The 21,527-nt window shown below is 35.6% G+C and overlaps 1 protein-coding gene across 9 annotated transcripts in view; it reads left to right on the forward strand.

The window, feature by feature from the left end:
• Positions 1–21,527, forward strand: part of SNX7 (sorting nexin 7) — a 99,182-nt gene that overhangs the window by 30,749 nt on the left and 46,906 nt on the right. For all 9 annotated transcript variants that reach the window (NR_033716.2, XM_017001425.3, XM_017001428.2 and 6 more), the window contains 3 exons: positions 3,451–3,649; positions 6,639–6,838; positions 9,750–9,836. Coding sequence is in view for 8 of the 9 variants with exons in the window: in XM_017001425.3 (XP_016856914.1) it covers positions 3,451–3,649; positions 6,639–6,838; positions 9,750–9,836 (486 nt within the window). In the remaining variant the exon portion in view is untranslated. The remainder of the gene's footprint in view (positions 1–3,450; positions 3,650–6,638; positions 6,839–9,749; positions 9,837–21,527) is intronic.

Genomic DNA, 21,527 nt, shown 5'->3' on the forward strand with positions numbered 1-21,527 from the left:
GGCGGTTAGGGAAGCCAACCCCTTATGAAATTGAAAATCCATGTGTAACTTTTAATTTCTCAGAAACTTAACTACTAGTAGCCTCCTGTTGATTGGAAGCCTTAACTGTAACATAAACAGTTGGTTAACACATATGTATACCTTTTGTGTATTATATACTGTATTTTTTGCAATAAAGTAACCTAGAGAAAAGAAAATGTTATTTAAGAAAATCCTAAGGAAGACAAAATATACCAACAGTATTCTACTGTATTTATTGATACCAAGTTTATGTTGTCTGTTTACAAGATGAATTGTCAGTCTGAAATGGAGGGCAATGACAGTGGCAGACCTCAGTCTATGGTACTTAGCAAGCAATTCAACTTTTTTTGTAATGACATGACTTTTCTCTGCTTCTTGGGAACATTTCCAGCATCACTAGTGGCACTTCATATGGGTCCCATGGTATTATTTCAGGTTTATAGTATTGCACTAAACACAATAAAAAAAATACATGGGAACCACAAGAGATCACTTTTTACTGCTACACCCAATTTAATGGAGAGATGAACTACTCACATGGAGATGATCAGCGTCACATGGCATTTTAAGCAGATATTCACAACACTGGAGCTCACCACAAATAGCAACAGGAGGGCTACAAAAATAGTACAATAGTACAGTGTGTAGTGTAGTTAATTTTAAGCAGTTTTGATTTAATACTGCATCTTTATGTTTGTTTACATTTCTCTCAACTGCATATGGTGGCATGTAAGTCAAAATATGTGCATACGTTTTGATAAATTTTAACTTTTTATAATAGATTTATACACATTTTAGGGTAGTAAATGATAGACTAGTATCCACATACATTTTGTGGATTCATGACATACCTTTCTCTCAGTTTTTTCTACATTTCTGGACTATGTGGTTTGTGAGGTTTTTTTAGTTGTCACAAATCTCCAAAAAATTTTCCAGTATATTTATTGAAAAAAGTCCACATGTGTGGACCTGCTTAGCTCACACCTGTGTTGTTCAAGGGTCTACTTTATTTTGAGTAATAATGGATCAGGGCTTTTTAAGTTAGGATAAAAGTCCTTATTAAATGGGTAGATGGATGAATGGAGATGGATGGATGGATGGATGGATGGATGGACGGACAGATAGATAATATAATCTCCTTACTTTTCCTTTAATTATCTAAGTGGGGGAGTGTCTAATTTCTAATACAGAAACCTTATCCATTCTACTTGTTTTTTCTTTTATTCTATAAAGCTATAACTCTGCAAGAAAGATACCAGACAGGACAAAGGGTCAATATTAAACAGTTACTGGCAAATGTTGAGTTTTATATCTCTCAGTTGTTGCCAGTGGTAGAAGCTAAAAAGTGGTTCATTTCAATCTTGACAGATAGTCCTCTATGGAAGCCCTTTGTGACTTATGTGAAATGAATATGCGGCCTGACTTCAGAACCTTAGAAGCTGTTAGAAATATTTTCTACAGTCAACAGTTTCAGTAACAGCTTGCCAGTTGTGACGTGAGCTGTCTCTGATAATGTTTACTCTATCAAATGAGGCTGTAGCACTCTTGGATGGATGTATTGCCTGGTCAAGGATGGCATCTGTTATTATTGGCACAAAAGAAATCACACAGAATTGGAAATAAACAAGTTTACTTTGTATGTATTCTGCAAGATATTCAGGAATGAAAACCTGAAGGAAGATAGACAATGTGTTATTTAATATTTGGGTAAATAATATATAATATTTTTATCTGTAAATTAGGTAGTCAGCAGTATTTTATTTGATCATATATTTTATTCGATCCCAAGCTTGTGTCTCAACAAGGGCCACAATGATTATTAAAATCCCTTGTCCTTTTTTGTTTGTATTTGTTCTTTTAACTTATGCCATACTTCTCAAGGGATATGTTTCTGTGCAGTATATTCTTTTATAGGATGTTTTCTATTTTGCAAGTCTATAGTCGTCCCTCCTAGGTTAAGTATGAAATAACTAGTTTCGTATCTTATTACAAGTTTTCTCAGCTGGGCGCGGTGGCTCACGCCTGTAATCCCAGCACTTTGGGAGGCCGAGGCGGGCGGATCACAAGGTCAGGAGATCGAGACCATCTTGGCTAACACGGTGAAACCCCGTCTCTACTAAAAATACAAAAAATTAGCCGGGCGCGGTGGTGGGCACCTGTAATCCCAGCTACTCAGGAGGCTGAGGCAGGAGAATGGCATGAACCCGGGAGGCGGAGCTTGCAGTGAGCCAGGATTGTGCCACTGCAGTCCAGCCTGGGCGAAAGAGCGAGACTCCGTCTCAAAAAAAAAAAAAAAAAAAAAGTTTTCTCTGTAGACAGCCAGTTGGTGAAGGTGGTGTCACTGTTTACCCACTTCATTTGGCTGAAGTGCTATGTTCAGGTAGTATCTATTTACAAACCATCCTAATGACTTTAAGCGGGCAGAGCAAGTTGGTGCTTAATAATGAAGCCTCTGGAATCAGACTTCCAGGATTCCAGTTCTTGCTCTACCACTTAATTGCTCTGGGATTTTTTTTTTTTTTTTTTTTTTTTTTTTTGAGATGGAGTCTCGCTCTGTGGCTCAGGCTGGAGTGCAGTGGCATGATCTCGGCTCACTGCAACCTCTGCCTCCTGGGTTCACGCCATTCTCCTGCCTCAGCCTCCCAAGTAGCTGGGACTACAGGCACCTGCCACCACGCCAGGCTAATTTTTTTGTATTTTTAGTAGAGAGGGAGTTTCACCGTGTTAGCCAGGGTAGTCTCGATCTCCTGACCTCATGTATGCCCTCCTCGGCCTCCCAAAGTACTGGGATTACGGACGTGAGCCACTGCACCCGGCCTGCTCTGGGATCTTGAGCAAGTTAGTTAACTTTCCTGTGCCTCTATTTTCTTCTGTAAAATGAGGAAAATAATAAAACCTACCTCATAGGTTTATGGTGAATTACGTGTATTAAAATGTCAGTATAGTGCCCAGAATGTATTAAGCTCTAAATAAATGTTAGCTACTATTACATCTAAAGAATTAATGAAGTTTTCCAATTTTATTTTTTGGAGTATAACTTAGGCCCTGAGAAATCTTCTCTCAATCATTTTCCATTAAATTCCTATTATAAAATATAGATGGTATGTCATATTATCCTTATCTCCTCTAGTATCTCATTGAGCACTATTCTGTCGGTTAAACCCTGTTCTTTTAAAGATTTACGGTCTGAGGAAAGACTATATACCTGTTTTACATGAGTAGTGTGAAAGGGAATATTATTGAGGCTGCCACTTAGAGGAAACACTGTACCTTAATAAAGCTCATCTGCTTCAAGCTAACATTAAAAAAGATTGATGCCTATGAAACCATTTTATCTTGATTTTATTCTCCTAATTAGGTTTATTTTTGTATTGAGTCTCGGAATATTGAGACTTGTTTCACTAGAAATACTTGGTTTTTTGTTTCTAGGAACTCTCTTCTCACAAGAAGCAAGGTCCTGGCTTGCTAAGCAGGATGGGGCAAACCGTCAGAGCTGTTGCGTCCTCAATGAGAGGAGTTAAAAACCGCCCAGAGGAGTTCATGGAAATGAATAACTTTATTGAACTATTTAGCCAGAAAATAAATTTGATAGATAAAATATCTCAGAGAATTTATAAGGAAGAAAGGGGTAAGTAGAATTACTGAAATGTGATTTCAAAGTTGTTCAGTTTCTGATGAATCTTCACATTTGTTGGTGTAATATAGCAACATTCAGTTAGAATGTCAGCTTCAAAGTGTGGCTTATTCCTAGCCATCTTATGGACATTTCTGATTCCTAAATGATTTCGAAGGTAGTTATGGCCAGTCTCCATTTTCACTTTTATCAATCACTAGCTGCTCTACTTCCCATTCATAGATAATAGTGGTAAAGTAAGCCCGAGTTAAAGATTGTGGATGTGGTTGTTTGTATTCAACATGGAACAGAGCTCAGAATCAAAGAAGTGATGTTTCAGGAAATAGGGTTTTCATATTTTCTGGTAATTATTTTTTTCTGGAGGGAACAGATACTCTGTATTAAACCTGTCGAAGTATGGCAGAGAGATTTACGTATTGGAAAATCTGCCTCTTTTCCTATTTTCTTTTTTTTTTTTAGTTTATAAATCAGAATTGTTGGTGAATTTTTTTCTAATTCTAATCACGTGATGATTTTTTCCCCTAATTTTCTAATTGCATTTACTTACATTAAAAAATAGATAACTGAGTCAGCAAATAATTTCCTAATATAATTTGTTATTAGAGATGAGGAACTACATAAAGACAAACAAAAGTTCCTAAGTTGATGGCTTATTTGTTAATTGACCTCTACTTAACTGTACTGCCAGTCAGGATAAGCTGGGAAATATCTTATTTCTAGTATCCGGGCAGTGTTTAAACATAATAAGTACTTAATTAAAATTTGTTCAGTGATTGAAAAAAAACCACGAATGAACATAAGATTTGGAATGGTGTAGGAAAAGGTGCTTTATTAAGAATTGATTGGTTTTAAAAAGAGATATAGAAAAAAATTATAACTGCATGTACTTTGCCCCTTTTCTAACTTTTTTTCATGCATTGACCCCTGATGAGATTACTGTAGTGACTGAATGTAGTATAATAATTTATTTTAAACCTCTTTGGTTTGCCCTTACATTTATTATTTGTCTTTTTTTTTTAACCTGAATAAGTGAATTATTTTAACTAGGTTCTGTGATTCCAGTTCTATTAAGTAGATTCTGGATGCATAGTTAGGTGGTATGGCAATTCAAAGAGATGTCTGGAAACTATTGGTAGTTAAGAGCTTTATAAACTATCAATGAGTATCAAAGAGTAATTAAGATGGTACCTGTTAAGCTCACAGTCTAGTTGGGAAATATGTATATTAACAGATAAATTACAGTGCAGCTAACTAAATGTTTGCATACAGATTGATTTGAGTGGTATGTAAGCACAGTTTAGAATTTTAGGGCAGCTTTGCATATAAACATAAATATTGTTCAGGTTTAATGACTGACATTGACATATATTGAGAAAATGAGAAATTTGAGATTTCTCAATTGACTCAATTGAGAAAAGAAAGTGGAAAATTTTCTTTTCCAGAAATTAGTTCAGTATGGTCATTATTTAACATAAAGACAGGCCTAGGATCAGGAAGGTGGAGTTTGGAAGGACTACAGAGGTGATTAAATGTTCATTACATAACAACTAGTATCTCCATTGTTTTTAAATTTCATATTTTTAAACTTTTTATTTAATACAGACTTTTAAAGTTTTAGTAGTTTAGAGAAATATGACAGATATCAGCAAACCCTAATGAGTTGTAAGATGGTTAAATATAGATAATTTGATTGTATTTATATGGATAGTGAACAAAAAACGGTCACTGCTTATAAATTTTCCACCACAAAAAGCTATACATCATTGAAAATTAAGTGTGAAAGTAAGAATGTAAAATTGTAAAGACAGTCACATTTTAAAATGAAATCCAAAAATTTTTGAATACATAGCGTATCAAACACTGAATGGTCTTTGGTTACTCATGTATGCATTCTTTCATTGATATGAAAATATTTATTGAACTCATTACATATAAGGGTTTGAGATAGAAAAATAATAAGACTCAGTCCCTGTTTTAAGGAGTATGTGGCCAAGAGCATTTGAGTTATAAGACATCTATAATACAGTGGGATAATGCTTTAATAGAAGTATAAAATTATGATAAGCTCATTGAGGGCCAAAGCATCTATGAATCCTTTGGAACAGAATCAGAGGAGATTTATTTGAACTGGAATTTAAAGGATTAGAAGTAGTTTGTCAGGTGATAGAAATGGAGGACAAGGCAGAGGGACATGTGCAAATGTTTTTGTAAAGAGAAATCATGGGTTATTCATGAATGAACAAGCAATTTGGCTTGAGTTAAAATCTTTGGCAGAGAATTTCACATTGGACCTGGAGAAGCAGACGGTGAGGACTAATTTAACTAATTTAATTTAACTAATTCTAATTTAGCTACAAAGAGTCAATGTTTCTATACTCTGATAAAAATAGAGGGAGAATAGTTAGGAGACCCTTGAAGCAGTACAGATTAGAGATGCTGATGGTGGTGGAAGTGAAGATAAGTACATAGGTAGATGGATAGTTTAAGATCTCGAAGTTTTGGAATTGGTGATTTACTGGCTCTGTGTAAGTATGATTCTAGGATAACCTCCCAATTTTTTGCTTAGATTTATGGATAGTAATTACCACTAAGTAGAATATATAGTCAGAAGAAGGGGAGAAAGAAGATGCTAAGTTTTTTTCAGGGCATGTTGCCTGTCAGGTACTCAGATATAGTTGTGTGGTAGGCAGAAGCCTAAATAGATATGATGGTCATATAATTTATTTTTCAAGCCAAGACATTTTTGACACTGAAAAGGTATGTTATTATTGATTACACTTGGACAGTAGTCATTCAAAGACTGACCTGGGGCAAACTGTGATGGCTGGTTGATTTAATGAAGGATGATATCCGTTTTCTTATGTTCTTGTGTAAGAACATGTGCACTGTGAGAGAAATAAGGCCCTTTCTTACTCTCTAGGATACAGGTATTTTGAAAACTTTTGTTTATTGAAGAGCTTATTAAGTCTTTTTTTTTTTTTAGAATATTTTGATGAAATGAAAGAATATGGCCCAATTCATATTCTGTGGTCAGCGTCAGAAGAGGATCTGGTTGATACTCTAAAGGATGTTGCCAGCTGCATTGACAGATGCTGTAAGGCCACTGAAAAGCGGATGTCTGGACTCTCAGAGGCCCTGCTTCCTGTTGTACATGAGTACGTGCTTTATAGTGAAATGTTAATGGTAAGAACACCTAATTCTAATTTTACCTCAGTCCCTTACCTGATTATAAGCTCCATAAAGGCAACTGTATTTCTTTTCTTTAAAACCACTATCTTTTTGTCCTAGCAGGTTGTTTTGCATGTAGATGTTCAATAAATATTTATTCACTGTGTGTCTAAATAGATGAAGGAAAGAATCCGTTGTTAAAAAGCAGGAATACTCAATAGCAACACCAACAATTTATCAGATTATACGTAGACTTGAAGCATCCTCAATCAAAATTTACATAGGGAATATGATTAGTTTTTCCAAACCTTGTGAAATTTTACTTTAAAATTTTTTAGTGCTTTGGGGATTTTGAAAGAACTGCTCTCCTGCTTCTAGGTACATTTGATTTAGCAATATATTTAGTACCATTATGTAGAAAGTACTTGAGTTGGATCTTGATGTTCTGCCTTCTGGTTGCTTTTAAAAGAAATCTTTCAAGTTAAAATGTTTTTCTTTCACTACTTGAAAAGGCTTTTATTCCTCTTATATCAAAGTTTTGCATTTTACTTCCTCAGTTCAAGTTAAGGTTTCCAGATATTTGGAATTTAGCAATGCTATCTGCAAAGCTAATATTTTTCATCCAGTATTTTTCTGTGCCTACAATACTTTACACAGGCAAATTGGCACCCTCAGTGTTTTAGGGTGGTGATGGGGACAGGAGTCAGCTTGCATTCAGATACAGCTCCTTTTTTCCGTTCTTTATAATTGGAACCATGGTTTCTTTGGACATGTACCCTTGATTTCTAGAGATTTCTTTCAATTTTTTTCTTTTTTAAAAACTTTTCCTTGTTTTGGTCTGAAAAGCTCACTTTGTGTTTCAGCATGAGATCTGCCTCTCTCTTGTTGATCATGTTTAGGTTTAGTTTGACAGAGTCATTAAATATTGCACAGACATTTCAGGCTTTGGCTGTACTTAACTTTATTGGAGTCCTCCTGTAAACAAAGCTTCTTGCTTCCCAAAAGCCTTCGATGTTTCACTGTTGATGATTCTCTTTCCTCTCTCTATCCATTTCCTTGGCTACATCCTTTGGTTTCACTTCATTATTGGGGTCACCCCCTTGTGTCAATCTTCAAGAAGATCAGATTTGTATGTTCTGTTCCATTAATTAGTGTTTTCTCCTATATTATATCAAGATGGAAATTATGTAATTGAAGTATTACATTATTAAGGGTATGGAAAAATAAGAATTATTTTATAGGTCCTCGTTTGATTGAATTAATTTTTAGATGCCTAGGGTATAATAAGTAGTACTTATATTGCATTTCTTGTTCTGTTTGATATTGGAACATTCTCTTCAATTTCAGCTAAAGTAATGAAAAATAATCCTTCCATAAAAATGATTAATTTCATGTAATTTTCACCAGTTGTCCTCTGAAGCAACCTTTTACTCAAAATGTATTTGTGCATATGAAAACCAGTGCTTCATCTTTTTTGAAACAAACCTTAAATAAATAGGACTGAATTAGAGAGTGAGTCATTTTGGTCAAAGAAAGGAAGGGCTTTCTTGACATTAATGGTATTTAAACATTGAGGTAAATATAAAGGAATTTGAGATATCAGTTGAATTTTCTATGGACTTCTTTGCAACTAGGAAAAATGTTAGCTTCCTTTGATTTTTTTTTTTTTTAAGAGACATGGTCTCACTCTGTTGCACAGGCTGGAGTGTAGAGGCATAATCATAGCTCACTACAGCCTCGAACTCCTGGGCTCAAGTGGTCCTCCCACCTCTTTCTTCCAAAGTGCTGAGATGTGATATAGGTGTGAACTACTGTGCCTGGCCTGCTTTGAATGTCTTAAGAGTCATTCCACCAGGTGCAAAACTGTACTAAGTGATTCTTAATCCTTAATGCTTTTTGGTTATCATTTAAATAGTGTAGAGCCATCTTGTTTGACCTCCATGTAACTGATTTGTGTCTAGTTTCTTTCCTTCTTCTTTAAAACACCAGAAGGCCCTTCTCTTTTATGTCCTGTACTTCTCTAGCTGGTTGAATTGTTTGCTTGTCCAAACTTAGTTTTATTTTTTCCTTAACCTGTTCAGGCCATTTGTGCTTCTTATTAGAATTTCATTATTTAATATTGTGAAAACCAGTAAAAGATGAGTACAAATAAAAAGAGTCCTTGTATCCTTAAAGTCTAAGTTACATGTCTCGGAAGAAATGTGAATCACTTAAAGACATTGTAAAAGTTCGGCAAAAATGAAAGATGTAGTTGAATTCTGCACTCAAATTTCTTCACATGGGTGCTTTAAGTTTAAAAACTCTGAAACATGAAATCAAGAAAACAAGAAACTCCTATCAAAGAGGAGGCTATGATCTCTCATCCAAAGCTTGGCTAACTGATGAATATTTTATATTTTGAGCTAAAATAAAATGCTTAGGATATGAATGCATACTTCAATTTTCTGATTTCCTACCATAATTTCCTGTTTGATTATCTGATCCTTTGGAGTCAGGTAAGAAGGTTGCCACAGAGTGTAGATATGGTCCATGTGACATCCCACCCATAACTAGTTTATGCCATAGTGTATTTCTCCAGTGCTTCTACTATTTTTTGTTTGTTTTGCTCTTTACTATTTTTGAAGAATTGTACATGCGTATTCCACCAAATGTAGTACATATGTACAATGCTTAAATGGGTAAAATGTGCATTAGGAAAACTAATAAAACATTTATAGGAAAAAAAACCCTCTTAAATACTTGCTTTCAATTTAGTTTTTAGAGAGTAACAAAAAAAAAAAAACAACTTTTTAAATGTATTATATCCCCAAATGACTGATGGCTTGGGGAAGAGATGCTATTTATATTCTGAAATATATATTTTTGCTATAGGAAAGATTATTAAAACTAAGTACAGCCTATTTTATCTGTGTGTTTTAATGTAAAGGGTGTTATGAAAAGAAGAGACCAAATACAAGCAGAACTGGATTCCAAAGTTGAAGTTTTGACCTATAAAAAGGCAGATACTGATCTGGTAAGTTTTTAAGTTTCTTGATACAATCATATAGAATTCATTGTCTAAAATTTTTATTAGCAATGTCCTTACATGATTGTCCTTACATGATTGTTTCTTATATGATTGTTTCTAAGCATTAAGCAAATTATAGTAAAATTTCTTCCTAAAATCTGTTATACATTGGATACCATGTGAGTCTACAAGCTTAACAATGACGGTTTTCTGCCTTTCTGACTTATGTCTCATACTATTAAGAAAGTATAATTTTGTAAAAAGGAAATAATGTGTTAGAAGAAAGTATGAAAGGCAATGCTAGCATTATTCCAGGCTAGTAAGTACTCAGTAAGTAAATCTACTTTTTTATAGTTTTTTGAGATATTTATATACATTAATGTTCCTGTATACTTCTTTTCTAAGTGTTGTTAAAATCTTTATGAAAGGGAATATCTTTGCGTTTGCAAGTTTAATCTTTCCCTTAAGATATTTTATTATGGAAATTTTCAAACAAAATGAGATCTAATAATACAATGAGCTCTCATATACTCATAACTGGGCTTCATTAATTCTCACCATTTGGCTCAACTTTTTTTATTGTCTCTCCTCATTTTTAAATTTTTACTGAAGTATTCTAAAGCAAATTCTAGATATAGATTATTTTACCCATGGTATTTTTATATTTATATTTTAGTATCTTTGCATTTTCAGAGTAATACTATCAGGTTGGAATAATTATTCTCACTTTAAAGGTGAGAAGACTCTTGAAAGGTAGAGTAATTTGCCTAAGTTTATATATAGGTCTTGAAATGCAGAATAGGATTGGAGGTGATGACGTCTCTTGCCTGCCTCAGACAGTGCTGCCTATCAGAAAGCAGGTATAGAAGTGGGAAAAATGGACTTTTAACCTAACGAACTTCTACTGAGTGCATTATGAAATATTTTTAAAATTTTTCTTTAAATTTAAGGATTTAGGTTGTTATTGAATACAATATTGAGTGCACTTACATCAGGTGAGCGGGGGAGTCCTTGAAACTTCCCTGTAAATCTGTAATATTGCAGCCTCCTCAGCCCTGACCTGGCCAAGGACTCTGCATCCCCCCTCCCTGCTTTAATTTTCTCCCTAACTTTAATCACTTCCTAACATATGACTTCCTAATTAGTTTTCTTTGTATATTTTTCTCTCTCTTTCCCTCTCCATAATTGAAACTCCTTAAGGGCAGATTTTTTTTATTTGTTCACTGGAGTGCTCCCAGGCCCTTGTGCACTGCCTGGCACATGGTAGTCACTCAATAAATATGTAGTGAAGGAATGAGTGGAAGCCACAGGGACTACTCTGATTTGTGCAAGCATATTGAAGGCTTGAAGCATGAAGTCTCTACAAAATCAGAATGTGCAATTATTTCATTATTTAATTAATATTGTGAAAACCAGAAAAGATGAGTACAAATACAAAGAGTCCTTGTGTCTACGAAGTCTAACTTGCATAGTTCTATGCAACTTAGAATTATTATACTATGAATTACTCTCACGTTTCTTGACTATGTATATTAACTGAAATTCTGTTCTCTCCAGTGGAATGTGAGTGGGGAGTGGTGGGCTGCTGTAGACAGAGTAGGAGAAAGGAATCTGTGAGAGGGAATAACAGAAAATGTAGAACTAGATGAACTAGTGCTCAAGGGAAAACTCATCTTTATTATTTAGAGAGAACCCCAGATTAACCTTTTCTATTTGATAAGAAACAATTGACTCCTAACACTCTTTCTATATATAGTTAAGAAACATATATATACATATGTGTATAAACATATATATACATATATACATATAGTTCTTAACTATATATAGAGAGAGAGTTAAGAGTCAATTAGAATTGACTGTGAAAGGCTGCACATGTGTATAGAAATTGTAATTGCATCTTTTGAATTTTAGAATTTGTTTTTAGGTGTTAAGTAAGGATATCGAAGTTAGTGGTTAGACAAAATTTTGCTCTTGATGAAATACTAGAAACAGTAGAATATTTTAAAGTTTCAGGAGAATAATAGCATGGCTGAAAAACCAAGCATATGTTAAGAATGGCCTATATTCATGTTTTAAAATGAAAAGAAGATTAATCGGGATTGTTCCAAACACAAAAGCACAAGGAAAAAAATAGCCTGGGTCCAAATATGGCTGGGATTTCCCAACTCAGTTAAAAAAAAAAAACACATTATTTTTCCACTGGGCTTGCAAATATTTTGTCTTCTGCTGTATAAAAATTTTTTTGATATTTTGTTATAACTTAATCAGTGTATATTTATGATTTCACTTGGGTGTGTGTGTCATGTCTACTCTAAAGTGTTTAATACCCATGTAGCTGCTACATTGTAAGACTGGAAAAATTTGAAACTTTAATTATCTGCATTATATTCTGTAAGATACTTTTGGTTGATTAAGTTTCAAAACAGACACATTTAACAGAGAGATTGCAGGTATTTTTTTGTTTATCATCAAAACAAATTTTTCCTAAAGTTTATGGGGACTGAGTTAATGATTTGTGAATGGAACTGTTTATATTTTCAAATAATTAATTTGTTTATAGGCCTTCTCACTTTTAAAATCCCTGTGCCTTATGATGGTATCTTCAGGAGAAATCTACCAGAGTTACTCTAAAAATGAACCGGCCTTGATTGGTCACAGAAAGACTGAAAGGAAGTTGCTTAGAAATATGCAGGATAGGGTCACCATGGCAACGTGCCCTTGTGAGGTCCTTCTAAGGAGCCATCCTTTGCAGTCACCATGGCGACCCTGGCAGAGAACTGAATATAGCTGTCTGCCTGGTTGTTTACCATGGCAACTCAGACAGGGCCATTTTGGAGACAACCCAGGGGCCATTTCTATGGAGACATTGGGGCAGCCTTCAGAGACTCCATCAAAGTCACCTTTGGGTGGGATGCTACGTGCAAACCCAGCAAAGCAACTGATAATGAAAAGGTCAGTGAAATGAAGCTCTAGTAAGAAAAGCAAAGATTAGAGGAGTTATAGTTATTGGGTAGAAAGACAGCAGTTATGTAACATTCCAGAGGACATTTGACTATGTCAGATGACCTTTGTGTGGATTTTGTGGCATGCAAATACAAGGGCTCTGGTCTTTTTACCTTGCCTATAATCCTGCATTTGAACAATAATGGCATTACAGTTACTTTTTCTTACCACACAGATATACCCACAAAAGGTATGTGTTTTTCTGCAAACTAAAATAATATCTGACAGTGAGTCCTTGATGCATTACATGGTTAGTTGCAAAGTGGCTCCTTCTTAGAGTTTGTGGTTTGTAGTTCTTATCTCACAGCAATAAAATTAATGGTTTCAAAATTACCTAAGTCAGTAAAGACATTCGGAATATTCATTTGAAGGTCAGTTCAGCTGTTCATGTAGAGTTTTGTCATCTAAGCTTTGGAACTTGATAAATCAAAGATCAAATCCTAGCTTACCTGTTTATGAATTTTGTGACCCAGGACAAGTTTTCTAACTTCTTTCAGCCTCATTTTATCATGTATAGGTTGAGGAAATTATTAGTACCTTTCTAATAGGCTTGTTTAAGGATTAAATTGTGTAATGCAAATAAATTGCTTGGATCATAGTAAGCACTCAGTAGCTTTTAGCTGTTGTCATTTTGATGACAGTATAGAGGTAATGTTTGAGATTGGTCCTATAAAATGACTATGGAATTATTCATTGCAAAGCACAAGGAATATTTCAGGTAGAATGGGTATTATGAAAAGCTTTAGAAGCTCAAAAAGCATGCTAAATTGATTAAACCAGATTGGTTTGTGGAGGGGAGGGTACAGTAAGGAAGAGGGGATGTGACTTAAAGATGGACTGTAGTCAGGTGGGAAGGAGGCCTTATCTGTCAGGTTGAGAAATATGTACTTTATCCTTTGCTCAGTATGGATGCAGTGGGAACCTGAACTGAAGAGGTGGCAGTGGAGTTGCAGAGAAGAGTTAATATGAGAAAGACGTAGGCAGAGGGTAGAATCCACATCACTTAAAGAATGAAGGGCAGCCAATGTTTCAAGTTGTTAATAACTAACATTTCTAACTTGCAGCAGGGCAGATCGTGGCTCTCTACACTGAGCTACAGAATAAAAAGTGAAGAAGAAATCTGGAGGTGTGCAGCTTTACATAATGATAAGATGATATTTAAGATGAGGTATTCAACAAAAACTTTTCAGCAAAGTTAATTGACTATTTACCATATGAACGTCACTGTTCCCAGCACTGGGGAAAGAAACCAGGTCCTCATGAGGCTTATGTTTTAGTGGGTTAAAAAAAGAGTAAATAATTAAAATTTATAATATATTATCATATAGTGATAAGCGTGGAGGAGACAGAGTGTTGAGGAGCAGTGCAATTTAGGATTAGGGGTCAGTAAAATATTCACCAAGGAGGTAATGTTTTAGTAATATGTGTACCTGGGGGAAGAGCCTTTCAGGCAGAGGGGACAGTACATGCACAATGAAAGTATGCTTGTACATTCCAGAAGAAGCAAGAAGACCAGTGTTGCAGAAATGAAGTGAGCAAGTAAAAGAGTTGTGGGAAATGAAGTCAGGTCTAACCAGGGGTTAGACCATATAGAGCTTTATAAGGTTTTGGTCTCAGTGAGATAGGAAAATAGTTGAACAGAGGAGTAACATAATCATATTTAAGTTACAAGATGATTATTGTGCTTGGAGAAAGCACAAGATGATGTGCATGTGGTATGTGCATGGGATGGAGGAAAGCCAGAGCCGGAGAGTAGCTCTTAAAGTATTTCCAGTGAGACATAATAGCTTGGACCAGAGCAGAAGTGATGTTAAGGGGTCAGAAGCTGAGTATATTTCGCAGGAAGAGCTGTTTGCTATTTGGTGGGCTGTGGATCGTGAGCCAATAAGGAGAGGCAAGGATGATTCTGAGGTTTTAGACAGAGCAACTGGAAGGTAATAGTTGGCATTAATTGAGATGAGGAGACTTTGGAAACAACAGGTTTAATGGGGAAGATAATTTTCTCAGATTTGGAAAGGTAAAGTTTGATTTGCCTATTAGTCACCCAATGGAGCTATTGAGTAGGGAGTTACATGTAAAAATTCATAGGTTCAGCTGAAGATATGTATTTGGAAATTATTAGCAAATAGATGGTATTTAAAGCTATAACATTTGTCAAGGTCATTAAAGTATGAGCCTTTACTTTATCCTGTCAGAGCCTTGGCATATTTCAACATTAAGAGATTAATGATAATGGAAGAATCAGAAGTTTTGGCTGAGGAGGAGAAGGGAAAGAATTTGATGTAGCTTTGTCTGGTGATAGATCATTGCACCAGTAAGATTAACTAAACGGATCTGATTAGGGTCATCCAACTTTTTAAACCATTTCTCCATTTATGAGGCATTTCAAAAAATAATTTGATATATGATAATTAAAATATTTCAAGAGTAATTGAGTTGCATTATGTGCACCAGTAAAGAAGATATTCAATGTGATAGATACCATCCTATGAAAGCCATAATTTTTGACTGGGATGATAAAGGTATAATAATAACTGAGATTATGAGGAAACTCAGATATTTGGAGAAACTTGTGGGTTTTGCCATTTTGTTATAAGTTTTCAGAGTCAGAGCTTCTGTTTGAAAATGCTTATTCACTTCACTGCTTAACTGTAAAATAAATAAGGTTCATCTGTGGTGCTAAATAATACTGCATATCTATTTTATTTTTATTTCTGAATGGATGATTTATAGTTTTCCACTGAAAGCAGCATTCAAATATAAATGAATATGAATACATTTGACATTTAGCAATATGTGCATAGAATTGGAAAGTTGGATCTAGATATAATGCCATAGCTGTTTAGCAGTATATTTATGTGAGCAAAGAAATGCATTTTCATAAGATCATCATAGTCTGGAATTTTGCACAGCCACATTCAGTAGATAGAAACAGATACCAGATTATTCAAGCTGGTCCTTATTCAGTATGACATGCTATTTTTGGCTGGTGTTTTACTCTCATCCTTAAATAGAGGTTATTAATTTTCAGATGATCTTGGTAGTGTATAAATGGTGCACAGAGCAAGATTGCCTTCTCTCTCTAATTCTAGGAAGCTTTAAAGAAATAATTTTGACATAGCAAGCCTTGCTTGTGATCAGAGGTGAAGGTTGCTTCTTCCTTTTCTTAAATATTTTCTGGCTCACTTCTCTCCTGAACTTTTTACAAATTATTCCTTTCTATATGCCTCATTTCCTAATATAATCTGTTTTCTACTCTGCTTCTTTTTGTCTGTTTACAGCTATGTGTCTGTCTCTCATGCACAGATACATATCCATCCACACATGTATACATATACACACACACACAGCAGTAAAGAACATGACAGTGTCCAGTGGGATGAGAAAAGGCTTTTTTTCTTGCATATTTCCTTTTATCAGTTTATCCTAAAAGGCACCTGGCTGACATTTCCTCAAAACTTGTTGGTCAGAATTGTGAAAAGTCAGGATCAAACCAGTCACATGGAGTGGGAATGTGGCCATCAGAATTTACTTATCAGCTACAATACACACCCAGTTACAGATACCTGAAAAAACTGGGGCCTTTGCAGAACGTAACGTGGAGAGTAGAGGATGGATTCTGGGTAAAACACTAATAAATGCTGGTCACAGACAGTGCAGCAGGGTAGTGGGTTTGCACACACACAGCTGGCGGGGAATTTGGAATGGTGCATGAGTGATGCTGTAATCAAGAAGGCCCTCAGCAGCCAGCTCCTCCCAGAAGAAAGTACCAGGGAGTACCTAGAATTCCTCTCCCTTTCTGTCTTCTCCGGCAGCCCTGTCTCATTCAAGGCTTCATTGGCTTGAGTGGTAGGTACAAAAGCAAAACTGTGTTCTCCTATTTATATAAACTTGTAAAGGATAATAATGAATATTTGATTAAATTGCAAAAATCACCGTATCTACCTTATGAATAGGAGTCTGTTGAGCCTGAGATCTCTGGTTGGAATTTTACCATATTGGATTTTTCTCTCTGTCATTTATTTTTGTGCCCCTGGCCACTTCCCAACAGAGCAGTCTCTGTAAAGTATTTAATATAAGGTCTTAATCCCAGTTGCAGAGTTGTGTGTAATTTAAAGCACAGCATTTTGTGGCATCTGGGCCATTTACTGCCTTTGTAGTTCTGGGCCAAGTTCCTTAACATTCTCCATACTTTAGTTTACTCAACTGTGAGAGATGTGGGTAATGCCTTCCGTAGAGTGTTGTTAAATGAGCATATTGAAACCTTAGCCCAGTGCCTAACCAGGATTAGATTGTAAATATTTCTATAAACGATGTTAAAGGAACTTTCTTTGAAGTATATATTAGTTTCATTCTTCTAGATCAAAGTTTGGAAAGTGTTAACTGCAGTCCTGCTTCTGAGACCTCCACAGTGTTAAAATAAGAAAAAAGAAAAAGCGAGGCAGCAATTAGCTTTAGCTGTGTAGTGACCACTCCCATTTGCCCTACCTGGTCGCTCTAGGCAGTTGCATAGATACTTTAAATTGTATCTGAATTTATGCAGACTATTGAGAGGTTGTGCTTTGGACTCCTACGGAATTATTTTAACTCAACTCACTCGATGTTGTACCATTGATGCATCAGAAGGACATTTTAAGGAGAACCATAAATCTATTTATGATAAACATCAACAGCACTATTTTATATTTTTCTTTTATGAGACCTCATGAGAAAGCTTTCATTTACATCTCAGCACCAGCAATATGGTTTCATTTCTCCTGAGTAGCTAGTGTATTTTCAGCTTGTACACATCTTGGGTTTTATATCTGATCTTATCCCATTTATCTCACTTTTTACAGTAGTTACTAGACTATTGAGAGCCCCAATTCTGATCCACTTCTGTCTAGAAAGTGTGTCTTTTTTGTGTCAAACTCACCCTTGGCTTTACCTTGTTTTTTTCCTTACTCTCATGTTCTCATTGCACTAATGTCTTTACTTTCTGTCTTTAAACTTGTAGAGTACAATTGTGGAAGCTCTCTTATATGGAATATGGAATCTAATAAGGAATAAATTAGAAACAAATTAATAAGAACTAGAGGTAAAGTATTCCAAATCATTTTAAAGACCACACATTTCTTACAACATACTGTGACCCACCCTGCCCAAGTGTGTTTTTAGTCATTTCTTTTGAAATTCATAAACAGCAGCATGTCTGTTATGAACACAAACCTGAACACGGAATGACTCATGTAACCGTTACCCAGAAAACTTGTCAAGAGATATTAGAGGGTGAGGTGAAAAATACCGTACTATTTTCAAAATTTTACCAATGAAATTTGCTTAGGGAAGTAACTGCATATTAAGGTTTGCTAATTTGAAAGTAGAACATAAAAATGTACAGTCTTGATGAATAAGGCCTGTGTAGGTTTGTGGTGGGTGAGGGTGAAAGGGGAGAAGAAGGAAGAAGACAAAGACTGTGGAAAAAGAGAGGCAGCGTAACAATGTTGCAGATAATTTCTAACGAAAGACTAAGCTCTGTGTCTTTCTCTAGGAAGATTTTTTTTTTCTGTTGCCTTAACTGCAACCGAAAAAGTAACAGATGGACAAGTAAAAGGGGTAGTTTAAAATTCCAGTCATTTCTTCTCAGGGTTTTAAGAAATTCTACTTACGGTGTCCTTTGGATTTGTGGTGTGTTTTATGGGGTTTGCCTGCCGTAGATAGAAAGTTTAAATAGCTTTCATATATAGAAACTCAAACCAGATTCAATTTCTTTTTAATTTAGACTTTTTGTTAATAAGAAATATGTCCTAAGGTTCTGTCTTACGTATCTCTTTCACTCCTGGCCCTGCCTGGGCACTTAATAAATATTTCATAATGCTTAGAGCAGTAACACACTAGGAATTAGAAGCCAGGAGAAGGCTTTGATTCACTTTTATTTAACTTGTGACCTTAATCAGACATTAATTATTCTTTATCCATTAACATGCAGAAATTACGCTTAAAGAATTTTTTTTGAAGATGAATTAACGTTTATATATCTAGGACTTGTGTTAGTAAAAATTTTGGTAAGTTATAGTATGAATATGTAAAATGTTAGATAATTCATCATAGTGTTATAAAACATTATTTAAAGTATAAATAGTTATTATTTTGAGACAGAATCTAGCTCTGTCACCCAGGCTGGAGGGCAATGGCACGATCTTGGCTCACTGCAACCTCTGTCTCCCGGGTTCAAGTGATTCTCCTGCCTCAGCCTCCCAAGTAGTGGGGATTACAGGTACACGCCACCACGCCCAGCTAATTTTTGTATTTTTAATAGAGACAGGGTTTCGCCATGTTGGCCGGGCTGGATCTCGAACTCCTGACCTCAAGTGATCCGCCTGCCTTGACCTCCCAAAGTGCTGGGATTACAGGACTGGCCTAAAGTATAAATAGTTTAGTACTAAAAATCAAAAATTGTATTCCCACCAAATAGAGAACCAGTAGTTTTCCTCTAGCACATTTGGATATATTAAATTAAATGCATTTTGATTTATTACAGGCATACCTTGGAGATACTGTGTTCAGTTTCAGACTGCCACAATAAAGCAAGTCACAAGAAATTTTTGGCTTCCCAGTGGATATAAAAGTTATGTTTGCACTATACTGTAGTCTATTAAATATGCCATAGCATTATGTGTAAAAAATGTACATAATTTAGTTAAAAAAGATGTCATTGTTAAAAATGCTAATGATCATATGAGCCTTCAGAGAGCTGTAATCTTTTTGCTGGTAGAGTGTCTTTCCTTTATGTTGATGGCTGCTGACTGATTACGTGTTGGTTGATGAAGATTGGGGTAGCTATGGCAATTTCTTAAAATATGAGAATAAGGAAGTTTGCTGCAGAGATTGATTTTCCTTTCACCAGTGAATTCCCCGTAGCATGCAATGTTGTTTGATAGCATTTTACCCACAGAACTGCTTTTGAAATTGGAGCCAATCCATTCAAAACTTGCCACTGCTGTATCAACTAAGTTTTCATAATATTCTGAGTTCTTTGTTGTCATTTTAAGAATACTCACAGCATCTTCACCAGTAGATCCCGCCTCAAGAAATCACTTTCTTTGCTCATCCATAAGAAGCAACGTCTCATCTGTTCAAATTCTATCATGAGATTGTAGCAATTCGGTCATCTCTTCAGGCTCTACTTCTAATTATAGTTCTCTACTATTTCTGCCACACCTGCAGTTACTTCCTCCACTGAAGTCTTGAACCCTTTGCTCAAAGTCATCTATAAGAGTTAGAATCAACTTCTTCCAAATTCCTATAAATGTTAATATTTTGGTCTGTTCCCATGAATCCCATATATTTTTCATGGAATCTAGAATGGTGTATTCTTTCCAGAAGATTTTCAATTTACTCAGTTCCATCAAGGGAATCACAATCTATGGCAGCTACAGCCTGACAAAATGTATTTCTTAAATAATAAGACTCAAAAGTCTAAATGACTCATTGACTCATGGACTATGGAAGTTACATTAGCTGACATGAAGGCAGTATTAATCCCCTTGTACATTTCCGTCAGAGTTTTTCAGTGACCAAGTACATTGTCAATAAACAGTAATATTTTGAAAGGAATCTTTTTTCCTGAGCAGTAGATCTCAAGAGTGGGCTTAAAATATTCAGTAAACCATACTATAAACAGATAACTCTGTCATCCAGGCTTTGTTATTTCAGGTATAGAGCACAGGCAGAGTAGATTTAGAGTAATTCTTTAGGGCACTAGGATTATCAGAATGGTAAATGGACATTGGCTTCAACTTAAAATCACCAACTACATTAGCTCCTAACAAGAGAGTCAGGCTGTCCTTTGAAGCTAGGCATTGACTTTTCCTCTCTAGCTATGAAAGTCTTAGATAGCATCTTCCTCCAATATAAAACTTTTGTCAGCTGGGCACAGTGGCTCACACCTGTAATCCCAGCACTTTGGGAGGCTGAGGCGGGCACATCACCTGAGGTTGGGAGTTCGAAATGAGCCTGACCAACATGGAGAAACCCTGTCTCTACTAAAAATAGAAAATTAGCCAGACATAGTGGCACATGCCTGTAATGCCAGCTACCCGGGAGGCTAAGGCAGGAGAATTGCTTAAACCTAGGAGGCAGAGGTTGCAGTGAGCCGAGATCGTGCCATTGCAGTCCAGCCTGGGCAACAAGAGCGAAACTCTGTCTCAGGAAAAAAAAAAAAAAAAAACTTGTCTACATTGAAAATCTGTTGTTTGTAGTGTAGCCATCCTTATCAATGATCATAGTTAGATCTTCTGGATAACTTGTTATAACTTGTACATCAGCATTTGTTGCTTCATCTGGCATTTTTATCTTACGGAGACAGCTTCTTTCCTTAAACCTAGTGAACCAACCTCTGCTAGCTTCAAACATTTCCTCTCCAGCTTCCTCACTTCTCCTAGCCTTCATAAAATTGAAGAGTTAGGACATTGCTCTGGATTAGGCTTTGGCTTAAGGGAATGTTATGGCTGGTTTGATCTTCTACTCAGACCACTAAAACTTTCTCCATATCAGCAATAAGGCTTTTTTTTTGCTTTCTTATAATTCATGTGCTTATTGGAATAGCATTTTTATTTCTTCCAAGAACTTTTTCTTTGCATTCAGAACTTGTCTAACTGTTCTGTGCAAGAGGCCTAGCTTGCAGCCAGTCTCAGCTTTTGAAATGCCTTC

The sequence above is a fragment of the Homo sapiens genome, chromosome 1, assembly GCF_000001405.40.
Source record: "Homo sapiens chromosome 1, GRCh38.p14 Primary Assembly".
Classification (NCBI taxonomy): Eukaryota; Metazoa; Chordata; class Mammalia; order Primates; family Hominidae; genus Homo; species Homo sapiens.